The following is a 17102-nucleotide window of genomic DNA, read 5'->3' on the forward strand; positions in this document are numbered from 1 at the left end:
GGCAGCAAAGGTTAGGGTTGGGATTGGCATACAGGAGGCTCAGTTCTCTAAAATAAAGTGCCTCCTGGCATCAGAAGCAGGGCAGACAAAGTCCCATGATATGCTCTCTGCATCTATAGCATGGCATTTTTCCTACTCTTTCAAAGTCTCAAAATGTGGACCTAATATTGTGTTTGTGGAGGAAGGAGGGCTAGAGCAAACCAAGAAGGCTCATCATACTATATTTATGATGCCCTGACTATTCAACTTACACAAAACGGATTTTAAGCCCTTTGACTAATGAAACAACCATCCCAAATATATTAAAACTAGCCAGAATTTTTGTTGTTAGCGAATGTGTGAAATATGAACAAACAGTGAATACTTGTTCCATTATTTTGCACCTGACCTAGCTGAAATGCTGCTTTATTTTATTGTCCCTAAATTGTTTGATCTCTGGATAATTACACAGATACTGTTTTATTTGCTTATTCATTTATTTTTTTTTCCTCCCAACTTTTGTTTTAGTTTTGGTTGGAGTCAGAGAATGTTGAAAAGGTTTCTCAAATACTAAATTATCTGCAGACCATACAAAACTGTGTTCTGGCTTTGGACTAGAGCATTTTTGTTGTATTTTTTCATGTTGTTTAAAAAAACTTACTTCAAAATGCCTTACTTAACATGGGAAAAAAAGCCGATGGCAATATAAATTACACCCTACCAAGCCTTACTTTCTGTTACACCCTGTTGGATGAGTTACTGAGATAAAATGGGAATTTAGTTATGTTTCTGAGCATCAGTCACTATGTTAGTATGTCACTGTTTTCTCTTTACCCTAGAGAGACATATTTTTACCCTTTTGTAAAAATAGGGAATTATTTCTAGTTTCAAAAGTAATGAATACTCATGGTAAAACATTCACTCCCTCTTGGTTTTAATTTTTTTAAAAGACAAAATAAATCACTATTATTTAACCACCAAAGGAGAAGTTCAGATACCCATTGTTGGGATTAGGCCTTAGCATATTTTCCAGCAAGAACTTTCATATGTATTACTAACAACAAACACAGGCAAATTAATTTGTGTACCTTCTTTCCCAACGCTGTTCAAAAAGCCACAGTGGGGGCGCAGTGGCTCAAGCCTTTGGGCACAGTGGCTCACACCTGTAATCCCAGCACTTTGGGAGGCAAAGGCGGGCAGATCACCTGAGGTCAGGAGTTCAAGACTCAGCCTGGCCAACATGGTGAAACCCCATCTCTACTAAAAATACAAAAATTAGCCAGGCATGATGGCAGGTGCCTATAATCCCAGCTACTCAGGAAGCTGAGGCAGGAGAATTGCTTGAACCTGGGAGGCGGAGGTTACAGTGAGCCAAGATCATGCCATTGTACTCCAGCCTGGGTGACAGAGCGAGACTCTGTCTCAAAAAAAAAAAAAAAGCCACAGTGGGGGCACTGTTTTCATCTCTTTTACAAGTGGAGGATGAATCCGCTGCTGGAAGGGCTGGAAGTCTAGGATGGGAGCTGGACGAGCCTTGAGTGCAGACCACAGGAGATGGACAAAGACAGAAGTTGGTCAAGCACCAGAGTGATGCAGAGGTCAGAGGCCCCTGCGTGGCAGAGAGCCACAGTCGAAAGGGCTGGAGCAGGCACTGGGTCCATCTGCCTCAGACCAGAAGCCACTCGCATCCTTTCTGCCGCAGTGGAGAAACCAGTTGGCCTCTGACATTCTGCAGCCTGGCACCTCGGAGGCTGCTTCAGCATGGTGTGTGGTCAGACCTGGAGGAGCCTACAATTAACTGACAATTAGCCTGACTGGGAGGGGAAGTGGGGACCTCCCTGAGGCTAGTGGCCAGGCAGCCAAATGGGCTAAGACTCTGGCTTCAGATGTGGTCCATTGGGAAGTGGCTGGTTTCTCAAAAGACTCAGAAGTGCCAATTAAATTCCAGCATGCTGAGCAGGGAGCTCGATAAAGGCTTAAAGTCTGGGTGGTACTGAGAATGCATCCACTTTTCCCAAATAAATAAAAAGCAGCCACATTTAGGGACAGCATGGATTTGAGATCTGACACTACTGCGTGTTGTATTTGTGTTTCTAGGTGAGTTCCAGTTTCGATTTAAGACTAAGGGGTTGATGAAATCTTCCATAGGAGCCAGGCTCCGTTTGCTTCTTTCTTTTATTAGGTGCTTGCCTTTTGGATTATATAGTGTGTTACAGGTAGTTTCATTGAAGGGTGAAGTTTTTCCATAGCTTATAATTGTATGCCTCTCTTAATGCAAAAAGCACTGTCTTCCAAATTTGTGAAGTCACCTTCTGTAAAACGAATCTGACCTTCCCATTTATTTGCATCACTTTTTAATTAAAATGATATGAATAGGTAATATACTCTATTTTAGCTGAAAGGCCAAGGAAGGATGTTTACATCATTGTTTTAAAAAATTGTTTCAGCTGGGCACAGTGGCACACGCCTGTAATCCCAGCACTTTGGGAGGCCAAGCAGGTGGATCACCTGAGGTCAGGAGTTCGAGACCAGCCTGACCAACGTGGTAAAACCCTGTCTCTACTAAAAATGCAAAAATTAGCCAGGCATGGTAGCAGGCACCTGTAGTCCCAGCTACTCGGGAGGATGAGGCATGAGAATCGCTTGAACCCAGGAGGCAGAAGTTGCAGTGAGCTGAGATCGCGCCACTGCACTCCTGCCTGGGGGATAGAGCAAGACTCTGTCTCCAAAAAAAATAAAAAAATAAAATAAAATAGAATAAAAAATTGTTTCTTTGGCCCCTTGGGAAAATATAAATGCAAATTTCTGCCAGCAAGATCATTGTTATGATGTTTAGGAAAATATTGGCATGTGCTTGCACTTTATTTTTATTTGTAAGCCTCTGAGTTATTGTTAGTCTGTTCCAATAGTGGAATAAAAAGAAAGAGAAATGAAATGATTTACTATAATTCCTTAGCTAACCACTGAAACCTAATAAAGCCTTATTTCTAAATCAAATCATAAGAAAAATGTCAACCTAGTTCAATAAAGAATTCACCTTCTTCAAAAGGCAAATGAACTCCTTAGAAAAGAAGAATCCGAAGTATTTAATGACAGCACAGCAGCTCAAAGCCATGAAGAGGCAGAAACAAATCCAATGTGTCAGGGGCAAACTGTGTGCCTCAGCCAGGAAGCCTCCTGTATTCTTCATGCTGTTTCCAAAACCATTTGGAAAAATTAGGAAATATGAGTGAATAGTTATATAAATGTACAATAGAAAAAGCCCTTTCTAGGCATGATATCAAATGAATAATCCACAAAAGAAAAGATTAGAAGAGTTGACTACATACATTTTTAAAGAAATCTCTGCCTATAAAAAAATTGAAAGTCATCTTGAAAACCATAAATGTAATAGGTGATAGACAAAGGGTAAATACAATGAATCAATGAGCAAAAGCCCAGCATTCCAGTGGACAAGAACAGATAATTTCTAAAAGAAGAAATAAAAATGTCCAATAAATCTAAGGAAACAATTCCACATGTATGTATAGAGATATGAAGGAATAAAATAAATACAAATAAAAGTGAGATACCATTTTTACATTCTTGCCTGTGAGATTGGTTTTAAAAAAAGAATAACAGTCAAGGTTGATGAGGGGCTATGAGTAAAGGAACATTCTCATTAAGGGACATTTAAATGCAATATGTATCAAAAGTAGTAAAATGTGTGATGCATACCTCTTGACCCAGGAACTTTTTCTGAGAACTTGTCCTAAAGAATAATGGAACAAATACATACAGACACTTAAATGAAGTTGCAGTGTTATTTAAAATAGTACAACATTGGAAATGATCTAACGTACAACAGTAAGGATTTATCCAATGAAATGAATGGTATTATCAAGATATGGGAAGATATTCAGCTATCTAATATTATGTAATTTTTATTGATGTAGCAGCTTTATTCCTAATCTCTAAAACCTGGAAACAACCTGATGTCCTTCAACTGGTAAAAGGATAAACAAACTATGGTACATCCATTCAATGGTTACTACTCAGCAGTAACAAAGACTGAACTGTTGCATGCAACATGTTGATGGTTCCCCTATGAATTATTCTAAATGGAAGAAGCCAACTCAAACAGCTAAATACTGTTTAATTTCTGTGACCTCTGGGAAAGGCAAAGGCATAGTGATGGAGAGACCAGTGGTTGCTGGGAATTGGGGTGGTAGGAGGGCTTGGTCCTTCCTCCTACATGAAGGAGTTTTGGGGGGAATTATGCAACTGATTGCTGTGGTTTTGACCTGACTCTGAGCATTTGTTGAAACTCATTGAATTGTAAACAAAAAAGAGTAACTTTTAGTGTATATAAATTTAAAAATTAAATTGTACTCCTGCATATGAGAGAAAGGGAGAGGAAGAGAGACAGAGAGAGATTTCTTGTAGAGAAATAAAAAATAAACTCTAAAGAGACTCTAAAAATTTTGTTACATAGAAATCTGTTATATCACTGAGTGAAAAAAAGCAAGGTGATCCTCTCTGTTGCATTTTATACAGTGTTCTATAAAACAGCAGTCCCGGGAGATTCTCTGATGAGGAAAAAAGGGATTCCTGAAGCAGTTTGTGCCAAGTCCTCTGCCCTTCCTCAATTCAATTGTATATGAAGCTTCCTTGTTTTAATTTATAAAGAAAAGAGGCTTAATTGCCTCACAGTTCTGCAGGAAGCATAGTGGCTTCTGCTTCTGGGGAGGCCTCAGGAAACTTACAGTCATAGTGGAAGGGGAAGGGAAAGCAGGCGCATCTTACATGGCCAGAGCAGGAGCAAGAAAGAGAGTGGGGAGGTGCCACACACTTTTAAATGACCAGATCTCGTGAGAACTCTTATCACTAGAACAGCACCAAGGGGATGGTGCTAAACCATTCATGAAGGATCCGCCCCCATGATCCAGTCACCTCCCACCAGGTCCCACCTCCAATATTGGGGATTACAATTCAACATGAGATTTGGGCAGAAACACAGATCCAAATCATAGCATTCTGCCCTTGGCCCCTCCCAAATCTCATGTCCTTCTCACATTTCAAAATATAATCATGACTGTCCAACAGTCCCCCAAAGTCTTAACTTATTCCAGCATTAACTCACAAGTTCAGAGTCCCAAGTCCCATCTAAGACAAGGCAAGTCCCTTCCGTCTAGGAGCCTGTAAAATCAAAAACAAGTTAGTTACTTCCAAGAAACGATGGGATTGGGTAAATACTTCCATTCAAAAAGGGAGAAATTGACCAAAAGAAAGGGGCCGCAGTCTGGCCCCATGTGAGTCCAAAACCCATCAGGGCAGCCATTAAATCTTGAAGCTCCAAAATAATTATAAAGGTTCTTAAATATTTTCAAATCAAAGAAACTGGTTTAGCATTGTTAAATGCTGTATGTTAGAGGAGAAAATAGAATCTATTCTAGGTATTTAAGCAAAATGGAATTTTATACAGGGAATGTGGTGCTTACAAAGTATTGGAGGAGCTTGGGGAGCACAGAGATCATTGCTATACTCAGTGTCCGGCACCACTACCAGATCTCCGTCTTCCACCTCCCACTTCTCAGTGCTCACCAATCAGATGGCCAGACACTAGGCTGAACTCAGCCACTGTAGCTGCCTTGGTTGCCTCTAGAAAACTGACAGCAGTGACTAGACACTGGAATCCTTAGTCCTGCTGTTGGAGCTCACGTTTCTGAGGCTTTGCCAGATCACAGAAACAGCAGGAGGAAGATGGCTTCAACCTCCATGCCACCTTCTAGATTCTGCAAGAAGGCATCAAACTGGTAGAACCTAATTTCCAAGGGAGCCATTTTTATCTTTCCAACATCTTCAGTTCAGGTGGGAGGTAGAAATGGATACCTAACAGGGTGCCAGTTGATCACATCCATTGCGCTTTGGGATCCCTTTTTCCGGTGTCATCTAGTTACTTCTCAGCTTACTATGGGAAACCATGCTTAGGATAATTTCCTAGGAGTGGGCTTCCTAGGAAAAATGACAATTTACCAACAGAAAAGACAAGAATGTGAATTTCCTGATGTTTGTTTATTTTAATGTTAAACACAAATATTTCTAGTTCAGTAGATAAAATGACATTTAAGAGATTTTCATTCCAAAGTCTCTTCGGTCATATAGGATGAGTATACCTTATCTGAAATGCTTGAAACTAGGAGTGTTTTGGATTTGGGGTTTTTTCAGATTTTTGAATATTTGAAAGTACCAACTGACATATCTTGTGGATGGAACCCAAGCCTAAACATGAAATTCATTTATGTTTCATATACACCTTGTACACATAACCTAAAGGTAATTTTATGCAGTATTTTTAATCACATATGCAACTCATCACATGAGGTCAGGTGTAGAATTTTTTCATGTGATGTCATGTCAGTATTCAAAAAGTGTTGGATTTTGGGCATTTCAAATTTTGAATTTTCAGATTTGGGATGCTGAACCTGTACTGCATAAATATCAGTGTATTAACAATCAGAGAAAGCTATTGCATAAGCATATGGTTGGTTATATTCATGTCTGTTCATCACAGTAGGTTGTGAGTCCTTTGAAGGTAAGAATCTTATTCTATTCGCCTTTGTATACATTCTCCCCCAGCACACAGTTCCCAGCAGAACACCTGGGAACGGTGCGCAGTAAATGTCAAGTGGATTGCAATGGATATTATCTGTCATCTGTCAATAAATCTATTTTTTCTCCCTTATTTATCTGCACTTTATTGAGTCAGATTTGACAAGATTCATCCATTAGTCTGAATATTGGATTTAACATGGGAGCCCAGGCCAGATCATACATTATACATTTATTATTTTTTCAGCATAATTTTGTTTAGCTTATAAACTGTTTTTTTTTTTTTTTTTTTGGAGACAGAGTCTTGCTGTGTCGCCCAGGCTGGAGTAGTGGCATGATCTCAGCTCACTGCAGCCTCCACCTCCCAGGTTCCAGTGATTCTCCTGCCTCAGCCTCCCAAGTAGCTGGGACTACAGGCATCCACCACCATGCCCGGCTAATTTTTTGTATTTTTAGTAGAGACGATGTTTCACTATGTTGGCCAGGCTGGTCTCGAACTCCTGACCTCGTGATCCACCCGCCTCAGCCTTCCAAAGTGCTGGGATTACAGGCGTGAGCCACCACGTCCGGCCAGCTTATAAACTTTGACTTGTAAAAAATGTAATAGAGTGTCTTGGAACAGCAAATATCATCCAAGCATGGATGCCCACTTTCGTGTTTCTAAAACTCTAAGTTAACTGTGGCAAGTGTGGAGTTGTGTAAGAAACGACCATGGAGCAGTGTGTCAGCAGCATGAGGCTTTGGGGCTGTTTGAGGCACCAGTTCTTAGGACAGAGGGAAGACTGCTTGCAAGAGTATCTCAAGACATGCTGTTTTATGCTTTGCACACTTCATTTAATAAATGGAAGGACAGCATAGCCAGGGAAGGAGAAGAAAGTTCTACAGTTCCTAATGGAATTGAAAATTTCATAGAGGCCTGGTACCTAGGTCTTTATCTGGATATAGGTGTGTAAGTAGTGCCTAGAGATTAAGAAGAGACTTTTAGAGGCTTACTTGTATAGGACAAGAAATGTGCATCCCCACTTTTTTGGTTCAAAATAAGAAAACTATTTTATTTATTTATTTATTTATTTATTTATTTATTTTTGAGATGGAGTCTCACTCTGTCACCCAGGCTGGAGTGCGGTGGCGCTATCTCAGTTCACTACAACCTCTGCCTCCTGGGTGCAAGTGATTCTCGTGCCTCAGCCTCCCGAGTAGCTAGGATTACAGGCATGTACCACCATGCCCAGCTAATTTTTGTATTTTTAGTAGAGAAGGTTGGCCAGGCTGGTCTTGAACTCCTGACCTCAAGTGATCCACCCACCCCGGCCTCCCAAAGTGCTGGGATTACAGGTGTGAGCCACTGTGCCTGGGTAAGAAAAACAATTTAAAACTTTATAAATTTTTATTAACCTGTGGTGTGCATAGAGAAAAGTAAACAAATTGTAAATGTGCAGCTCGGTTAATTTCCAATAAAGTAAACACGCACCTCAGTAACCATCACCCATGTTAGGAAATACAGCATTATCAGTACCTCAGAAGTTCTCTCATACCTTCTACTGTGCATCTCCCCAAAGGTACCCGCTCCCCAAATCTCTGACACCATAGATTAGTTGGATTTCATATAAATGTAATCACACAGTATGCTTTGTTCTGTATCGGGTTTCTTTTACTCCCTGTTCTATTTGTGAAATTCACCATGTTGCTGTATGTAGCTCTCATTCATTAATTTTTGTTGTTGTTTAGCATCTAACTCATGACCATATACCACACTTTATCCCTTCTGCTATTGATGCATATTTGGACTGGTTCCATTTTGAGGCTACTATAAATGACACTACCCCAAACTTTCTTTTATGTGCCTTTTAGAGCAAATATGTACATTTTCCTCTTGAGTATGAACGCAGAAGTAAAATTACTGGGTCCTGAGGCATGCATATGTTCAGCTTTAGTATGTTCCATTGTTTTCCAAAGAATTTTAACAATTTCATTCTCACCAATAGTGACTAAGATTTCCAGTTCTCCACATCCTTATTTGCACTTGTGAATATCACTCTTATTTTCGCCATTCTTGTGAGTACATCTTCGTATCTCATGTGGTTTCAATTTCTCCTAATAATGACATTTAGCTTCATTTTGTATGTTCATTGGCCATTTAGATACCCTCCTTTGTGGGGTGACGATTTGTCTTTTACCTATTTTTTTTATTGGATTGCTTAACTTTCACTTACTGATTTATTGGTGAGTTGTTGATCAGATACATGTATTCCAAACTTCTTTTTCTTTTCCTTTTTTTTTTTTTTCTTGAGACAAGGTCTCATTCTGTCATGCAGGCTCACTGCAGCCTTGACCTCCCTGCTTCAAGCAATCCTCCCACCTCAGGGTCCTGAGTAGCTGGGACCGCAGTCGTGTGCCACCATGCCCAGCTAATTTGTATTATTACTCATAGAGATGAGGTCTCGCTATGTCACCTAAGCTGGAGCTTTTCCTACTCTGTAGCTTGCTTTTTCACCCTATTGGCATCTTGTGGTGAACAGAAGTTCTTCATTTTAATGTAGTCCAGTTCATCAATATTTACCTTATGGTTACAACTTTTGTGTCTTGTGTAAGATATTTTTTGACTACTAAAAGGTCATAAAGATATTCTGTTATTATATTTGTGAGGTTTTATTGTTTTTCTTATTTAGATCTATAATCTACATTGAATTGATCTGTGATTCCTTTTTGTTCTACATGAATACCCAATTTACTCAGCACCATTTATTGAAAGGGTTACCCGTTATCCTTTAACAGAAACATCAACTTTGTCATAAGTCAAGTGACTTTATGCATACAGTCGTTCCCTGTTATCCTCAGGGTATGCATTCCAAGACCCTCAAAGGATGTCTGAAACTGCAGGTAGTACCAAACCCTATATATACTATGTTTATTCCTATACATATGCACCTCTGATAAAGCTTAATTTATAAATTAGGGACAGTAAGAGATTAACAACAACAACCAATAATAACATAGAACAATCATAACGATATGCTGTCATAAAAGTTATGTGAATGTGGTCTCTCTCTCAGAATAGCTTATTGTACTGTATTCACCTATTTTTGGACTACAGTTGATCATGGGTAACTGAAACCACAGAAGACAAAATCATGGACTGTACTCAGTACTCTTCCCATTAGTCTATTTGTCTATCCTCATGCCAGTGCCACTGTCATTATTTACTGCAGTTTTGTTATAAGTATTGGTATCAGATAGTGACAGCCCCTAACTTTGTTCTTCAAAATTATCTTCACTATTCTTGTATTCTCATATAAATTTTCGAATCGGCTTTTCATTTTCTCCAATGCTGGACTTTTTCTTGGGATTAAATTGAATCTATAGATTAATTTGAGAGATCTGGTATCTTTTGTAATATTGACTATTCCAATATATGGGCATGGCACATCCCTCTATTTAGGTCTTTAGTTTATCTTATTAATGTTGTTTTCTGTATAGAGGTCTTGCCTATCATATATTAGATGTATCTCTAAGCATTTGATCTGCTAAGTGCCATTCTAAGTGCTTTACATATATTAACTACCTCATAGGGTAGTTAGCAGAAAACTAAGGAGGCACTATTATTATCCCATTTCTACAGATGAGACATAGAGAAGTTAAGTAACCTGACCAAGGTCGTGTAGCTGTTAAAAGGCTGAACTGAGATTTTAAGTTAAGCAGGCTGACTACAGAATGCATGCTTTGAATTACTGTTCTGTACTATGCCTCCAACATGTTCACGAATGCATTTAATTGCAAACAATGAAAATATGTTTAATATCCATCAATCAGATCTTGTTAAATAAAGTCATAGAGTGGAATATTATACAGGCCTTAAAATATAGTTTTCCCTTGGTATAGGTGGGAGACTGGTTCCACAACTCTCCATGGTTATGAAAATCCACAGATGTTCAATTCCCTTATATAAAATATCATAGTATTTGCATATAATCAATGCCTATCCTCCTATACATTTTAAATCATCTCTAGATTATTTACAGTTTCTAATATGTAAATTCTGTGTAAATAGTTGTTATGCTTTATCATTTAGGGAATCATGACAAGAAAAAAAGTCTGTACATGTTCAGTGCAGATACAACCATCCATTTTTCTTTCAAATATTTTTGATCCAAGATTGGTTGAATCCAGATGCAGAACCCATGGATATGGAGGGCCAACTATAATATAGCTCTGTTATTCTGGAAAGGTGCCTGTGACATATTATTAATCTTTTTAAAAAAGAAAGTTACAGAACAGCTTGTACAGTGTGGTGCCAGTGTTACAAAATTGTGAGCGTGTATGGGGTGTTAGTTATGGACAAGGGGCTCTGAAATGCACTTTTAATAGTGGGCCTGACTTGTTATTATAAAATAATAAAGCTATTTTTATTTAATGGACAGAGAGTATTCTTATTCTCCTCCTATCTAAGTATATTTCTCAGTAAGTAATAGCTAATGAAAAATAAAAGCACAATAGCTATTGAATGACTGAACAAGTAATTTTTTGAGCTCTATTATTATTTACATGAGGATTTCCTAGAAGAGAGGAAAGATTTTAGACTTTACTGCAATGAAAAATAGCTCTACTTTTTCCACTGGTACTTGCATTTATTATGATTTCTTTCTTCGCTCCGTGTCTTTTTTTCTTTTTTAAAAACAGAACAACGCTTAATGTAAACTTTGGCAATCAAACAAGTACATGGGTTTCAAAGAGCTTATGGCTTTTTTTTTTTTTTTTGAGACAGGGTTTCACTCTGTTGCCCAGGCTGGAGTGCAGTGGCACAATCTTGGCTCACTGCAACCTCCTTCTCCCAGGTTCAAGTGATTCTCCTGCCTCAGGCTCCTGAGTAGCTGGGATTACAGACATGTGCCACCACGCCTGGCTAATTTTTGTATTTTTAGTAGAGACAGGGTTTCACCATGTTGGCCAGGATGGTCTTGAACTCCTGACCTTAATTGATCTGCCCACCTCTGCCTCCCAAAGTGCTGGGATTACAGGCGTGAGCCACCACACCTGGCCTTCAAAGAGCTTATGTCTTTTGTCTGTTATTGTTTAGGAATCAGTTTTAAAACTCTCAAACTATTGATTTGCAAGATTTCTCTTAATCATTGCAACCCTACCTCCCAAATACAATTGAAAAAGGGAACCATGTTCTCAAAAGAATTAATATCTATCCTTCCCTTCTCTGTGGTGGCTGTTTCAAAATGAGAAATTCCACCTTAAAGAGTTCAGAATTGAGCCGGGCCAAGTAGCCTGTCAAGAGAAATAGCAGATTCCAGCCCATCACAAAAGGGCAAATGGATTGTTTATCCATCACAGCCATAAAACTGCCTGAGAACTGGTCTGTTACCAAAATATATCCTGTTGGTGAATTGATGCACGCTGATTGGATACAGCGACTGTAGAAGAGCAAAGTAGCTGGCTTGCAGCTATGCTCTGAAAATTAGCTAAAGGTCTGGAACTTCATTTCAATTTCAAAACACTGCTAAGGTCTGTGTTTACGTATGCCTGTGGGAATGGTCCTTAAAACATGCTCACTTGGGAAAGGAAATAAACATGTCATGTATCATATGTTTAAATTCACACAGGGTTTCCAGTAAGTGCTATGATTTATTTGATTTTTTTAAAGCCCTGACACCTGCATAAAATTAATTCATGTGCATAGGCCTGTGGCATAGTTGGATTTCCACACCATAATCCTGAGCACTCACCGCATTTCTGAAAGCAAAGGGTCACCCAACCACCACAATCTTGTACCTCATTACATCTTGGATGTCACTTCCCCATTGTAATAACATTAAATGGCTTAACCTTCTGCTCTCTTGAAACATACTTAATAACAAGGATGTCACAATCTCTGTAAGTGAGATTGTCCAGCCTCATCAAAAAGAGAACATGGCCATATTTGACTTCACTGGAACAATCTGCAAAAAACTAACATTTTAAAAATCTCCAGTAATCTCTAGTTCCTAGTATGTAGAAGGGATATAAAGTATTTCCCCAGGGAGTTTTGCTTTTGCACAGGAGCCAGGACTCAACAGCTCAAGCAACATTTCCCAAGGTCAGTGACAAAGGGCTGGGATAGATTTACTTTCCTCTGCATGAGAGCACCCATGTCTCCAGGTCTACAAAGAATTTCCAGATTTTTCTCTTGTGCCTATTTGCGCTTATGTATTACTATATTGGAATATCACTCTAGGACTTTCAAAGACGACAAAAGCACTAATATAATTCAGACGTTTTTATTCTTTTACACATGTTGCAAAAAAAAAAAAAAAAAAGAACATGCCAGAAGCTCTGATGTGTCCCCTTTAGCATGAAGAGCTCACATTGGCCTCTGTGATTTAGTGAGGTGAATCCTCTGACCAGGAACCTCAGTGTCACCTGGGAGTTTGTCAGAAATGCGGACTCTCAGACCCCTCCCAGACCTACTGAATTAGAACCTGCATTTTAACAAACTTCCCAGGAGACCTGAATGCAATATACAGTTTGAAAAGCACTGAAACAGTGTAGATGCACATCCCAGCAAATATGGTGACAATACCAATTAAATGTCAACCTGCATGGGCCTGCTTAACAATTATATAGCGTCCAACGTAACTCTTTTCTGTTCTCTTATTGCTCAGAGGCCCCTCTGCCCACCCAGATTTGAGCAAAATCGCTTGAATGTTTGACAGTGTCTTTGTGTCTTCTAGCAGATTGCCCTTCCCTAGGCTTGTCATTCTCGCAAGCTGCTTAGCAGTTGTCAAAGATGATGTTATAACCTGCCTGGAGGCTTGTTTGATCTAATGTCACAATCCTATTGACCTGCCAAATCCTGTGATCCATTATAATTAGAACGGTTCATATTTATGTGAATTATGGGTGGGGAAATTTTGTCTGTTTCATGAAGACCTCTGTTTGGACTTGTTAGATTCTGTGAAGTCAAGACAAGCAAGTGATTATATCCTAAATCATGCTTCATATGAAATAAAGTTTAGAAATATATGGTATACTCAAATACTTTTCCAGTTAATATTGATATTATACAAAGTATGCAAATTATACTATACTATTATACTATTATATTATCACATCGAGAAACATAATACCTGCCTTACTTACCTTTTAGCAAACCAGCACCATTTAAAGAGAACATACAAAGGAAAGCAAAATTAAAATTATAATTGTTTTTACATGCAATATCCATATTCAGTCATCTAACATAATTTTCCTTATAAATATTTAGTCATATAAATAAACACTGAAATAATTATCTACTTGCTAGGGTATAATTTTTAAATGGTAAAATCATAACTCCCTTCCAAATATAAAATGAATATGTGTGAAAGATTTTATTAAATTCATTAATTAATGAAAGTACCAGTAAGATTTAATGAAGGAACTAGTAAGTATGTATAGACAATCTAATAAAGAAATATTACATTGAGATTTCTGGGTTATATACAAAACTAGTTATGTGTCCTACAGGGTTATTACCATCCTACAGGGCAACAAACTGTAACCTTTGTAGGTTTCATTTCCACCAAATTGAAATTATTTGCATTTCAACCAGATAAAAATCTACCAGCTAACCTGTCATTTCACTAAGTCTGAGATCATTAATCAATAGTAAACAATAAGTTGAACAAAGTACTTTCCCTTTTATAATCCTGGGGTGGCCTTTGCCCCCATATGACATGGAAATCAGGTTTTACCTTCTGTCTATGTTTTGTATAATTTTTCTTAACACACTTATAGAAAACCATCTTCTGTTAAAAATGTCAATTTCAACTGCAGGTTTAAATATGCTCACTTTCCAAGTGGACATTTATTCTAAAATTACAGAAGGTGCAAATTGACATACTTTTTTCTACCTCATGTAGTTACTCCTGAGCCTCAGTCAGTTTTCAGTCTTTTTCAAAGTCTTCTCTTTCCACACCTAGTGATTTTTAGTTCTAGACTTGTAACAATGCTGGGATATCTAAGGTGGCTCAGAGGACGGTCATGACATGGAAAAGACATGCTTTCGGTGACAGAGTGCCCACTCAAAGACCCATTCGTATCAGGCGATTCTACTGCTTTTGCTCATACCATGTGACAGGTAAATCAGCCTCCTGCTTTTGACTGATCCCTATGGACATTGATGTGCTTTCAATAGGAAATTAATATTTTTGAACTTATGCATTCACTCTTCTCCCCTATACATATGCTAATTACATGTAGGTTTCTCTCCGTAATCATTTATATTCATATTCATGAATAATGTTGCCTCCTCCTTGTGATTTGGCTGCTATTGAATCTCATCTGCATTATTCTCAGCAACTGATTTCATTTTGAGCTAGCATAGAAAAGAATAAATATTCTGAGTCTGTTAACTAGGAAACATTGACTGATCTATGACTAAAAGTTATTTTCTAGAGTAACTGCAGTGTTTTGGTTTGTTTCAGTTTGTTTTAATGTCAGTGTCTGCTTGCCTACAAAGCATTCGCAGCATCTGCAAAGAAGTGGGTCTTGGCTTTTACTCTGCTCCTGGCTTCAGCTTACTCTGTGAAGGCAGCCAAGGGCAGAGAAGTCCCTTCACATTCTCAGCAGGGGACCTGGCAGAGGGGAAGATGCCAGAATCATAGAGTTCTCAGCATAAATAGTTTCAAGATCTGAATGCATTCTTTCCTAACAATTGACTGAATGGGTTTGTTCTCTCCCTTTCTTTCTCACTAGCGCTAACCTTGTGTTGTGTTGGCCTGTTCAATAGCATTCTTCAGGGAAGATGTTTGGAGATAGAATGGAAATTTGTCGCAGTAAACTGCATATGGGAATGTGATGTAGGGTCAGAATTAATAAATGCTGGGAGTTTTCAGGTTTAGGGTCTGCTGTTGAGATACCCAGTGATGTTCACTAAAAAAAGGAGTGTTTCTGTTTGGCTAAGAATGAAAACACTCTATTTTATGTGTTTATATAAGCATTTACTTTTAAAATTTGTTCTGATGCTTAGGGTAGCTCTATTAGCATTCTTTTCTACACACTGGAGCTTGTCTGCCTCTATTATTGTTTCCTGTAATGAGAATATAATAAAGCTCAAGCTTTTACCTAAATATCAAGTTTTATAACTGAAAATGAAAATAGATTAAAAAATCAAAGCGATTTAGAACTTTCTGCATTTGAACGTTGGAAAATGTTAGTTTTGTGTAATGATTCCTTTTTTTTTCCAAATAATTTAAAAGGATACATATAAACCTTGGATGGCAAACTGAATTAAAGGTTGACTGTATTTCAAACAATGCAATCCATAGGGTAAGGCTGGAAACACATCTTGTATGCTTTTTCTTTTCTTTTCTTTTCTTTTTTTTTTTTTTGAGACAGTCTCACTCTGTCACCCGGGCTGAATACAGTGGCACAATCTCAGCTCATTGCAACCTCCACCTCCCGGGTTCAAGCAATTCCCCTGCCTCAGCCTCCTGAGTAGCTGGAACTACAGGCACGCGCCACCACGTCTGGTTAATTTTTTTGTATTTTTTGGTAGAGACAGGGTTTCACCATATTGGCCAGACTGGTCCTGAACTCGTGACCTCGTGATCCACCCGCCTCGGCCTCCCAAAGTGCTGGGATTACAGGCATGAGCCACCGCACCCAGCCTGTATGCCTTTATTTTAAAAGTTACTTGGATCATGGAGGAATGGTATATTGCTTATCATATAGATTCTTAGGGATATTTCTTTTTTTGGCATGATGTGAAAATTATAAACAATCATTTCTAGTTTAGTCTGTTTTGAAACACTTTGATTTTCACATTCTGATTTTTTTCCTCCTTGATTTCATTTTATTATAATAAAAATAACAGGTATTGACTAGAAAATTTGGAAGATCCTGGAGTATAGAGAAGATAATAGTCATCTGTAATGTCACAACACAGAGAATAAATTACTCTTAACATTTTTATTTCCTTCTGACATTTTATCCATGCTTACAAGTATATATTTATATAAAATTAGGATCATACTTTCTGTAAAGCTTGTATTCTGTTTAAAACATCTCACTTATGGTTACCTTGAAACCATAGAAAATGAGGTTGCAGAAATTTGTCTTTTCACATGGAAAATGTTCCTGCTATATTATTAAATAAGGCAGCGTGGTTTTTATCTCATTTTTGGTGTAAGCAGCATAATATGCTTGATTTATTGTTCTAGAGTCTTTCTTATTATGATGTATGTTCCATACTTTCTGCATTTTTGCTTGTTTCTGATGTTTCTGTAATGGAGCATGTGTTACTTTTTGGACTTAAATGGCATGAGCTGAAATAACCCAACAAGAACCAAACAGGAATCATCCCTGTATGTAAACTTCATGAGCAGCCTTATTATCGTCTCTGGTTATTTTCTTAGAATCAATTCCTAGGAGTGGAATCACTGGGTCTAGGTGTTTGAATATGCTGTATATTTTGTATACTTTGTAGTCTAGTTATACTTCTCTATGGGAAGGAGTTTTACATTTGTTCTTTGCAAAGTAAAGAATACTTATTCTCACCATTTTTGCTC

The 17102-nt window shown here is 38.2% G+C and overlaps 1 protein-coding gene across 3 annotated transcripts in view, besides 2 other annotated features; it reads left to right on the plus strand.

Annotated features, from left to right (window-relative positions):
• SGPP2 (sphingosine-1-phosphate phosphatase 2) overlaps positions 1–17102 on the plus strand; it is a 138634-nt gene that overhangs the window by 109987 nt on the left and 11545 nt on the right. The gene's annotated exons all lie outside the window — the stretch shown is intronic.
• Positions 1650–2150: an enhancer, noted in NCBI's record as "H3K4me1 hESC enhancer chr2:223400343-223400843 (GRCh37/hg19 assembly coordinates)". NCBI's record gives its function as "activates a minimal SCP1, AML or CMV promoter by ChIP-STARR-seq in naive H9 embryonic stem cells {active_cell/tissue: H9 hESC(naive)}" and the evidence as "EXISTENCE:reporter gene assay evidence [ECO:0000049][PMID:30033119]".
• Positions 4781–4830: a silencer, noted in NCBI's record as "silent region_12372". NCBI's record gives its function as "represses an Ori minimal core promoter by ATAC-STARR-seq in GM12878 lymphoblastoid cells {active_cell/tissue: GM12878}" and the evidence as "EXISTENCE:reporter gene assay evidence [ECO:0000049][PMID:35858748]".

Source organism: Homo sapiens, chromosome 2 (assembly GCF_000001405.40).
Source record: "Homo sapiens chromosome 2, GRCh38.p14 Primary Assembly".
Classification (NCBI taxonomy): Eukaryota; Metazoa; Chordata; class Mammalia; order Primates; family Hominidae; genus Homo; species Homo sapiens.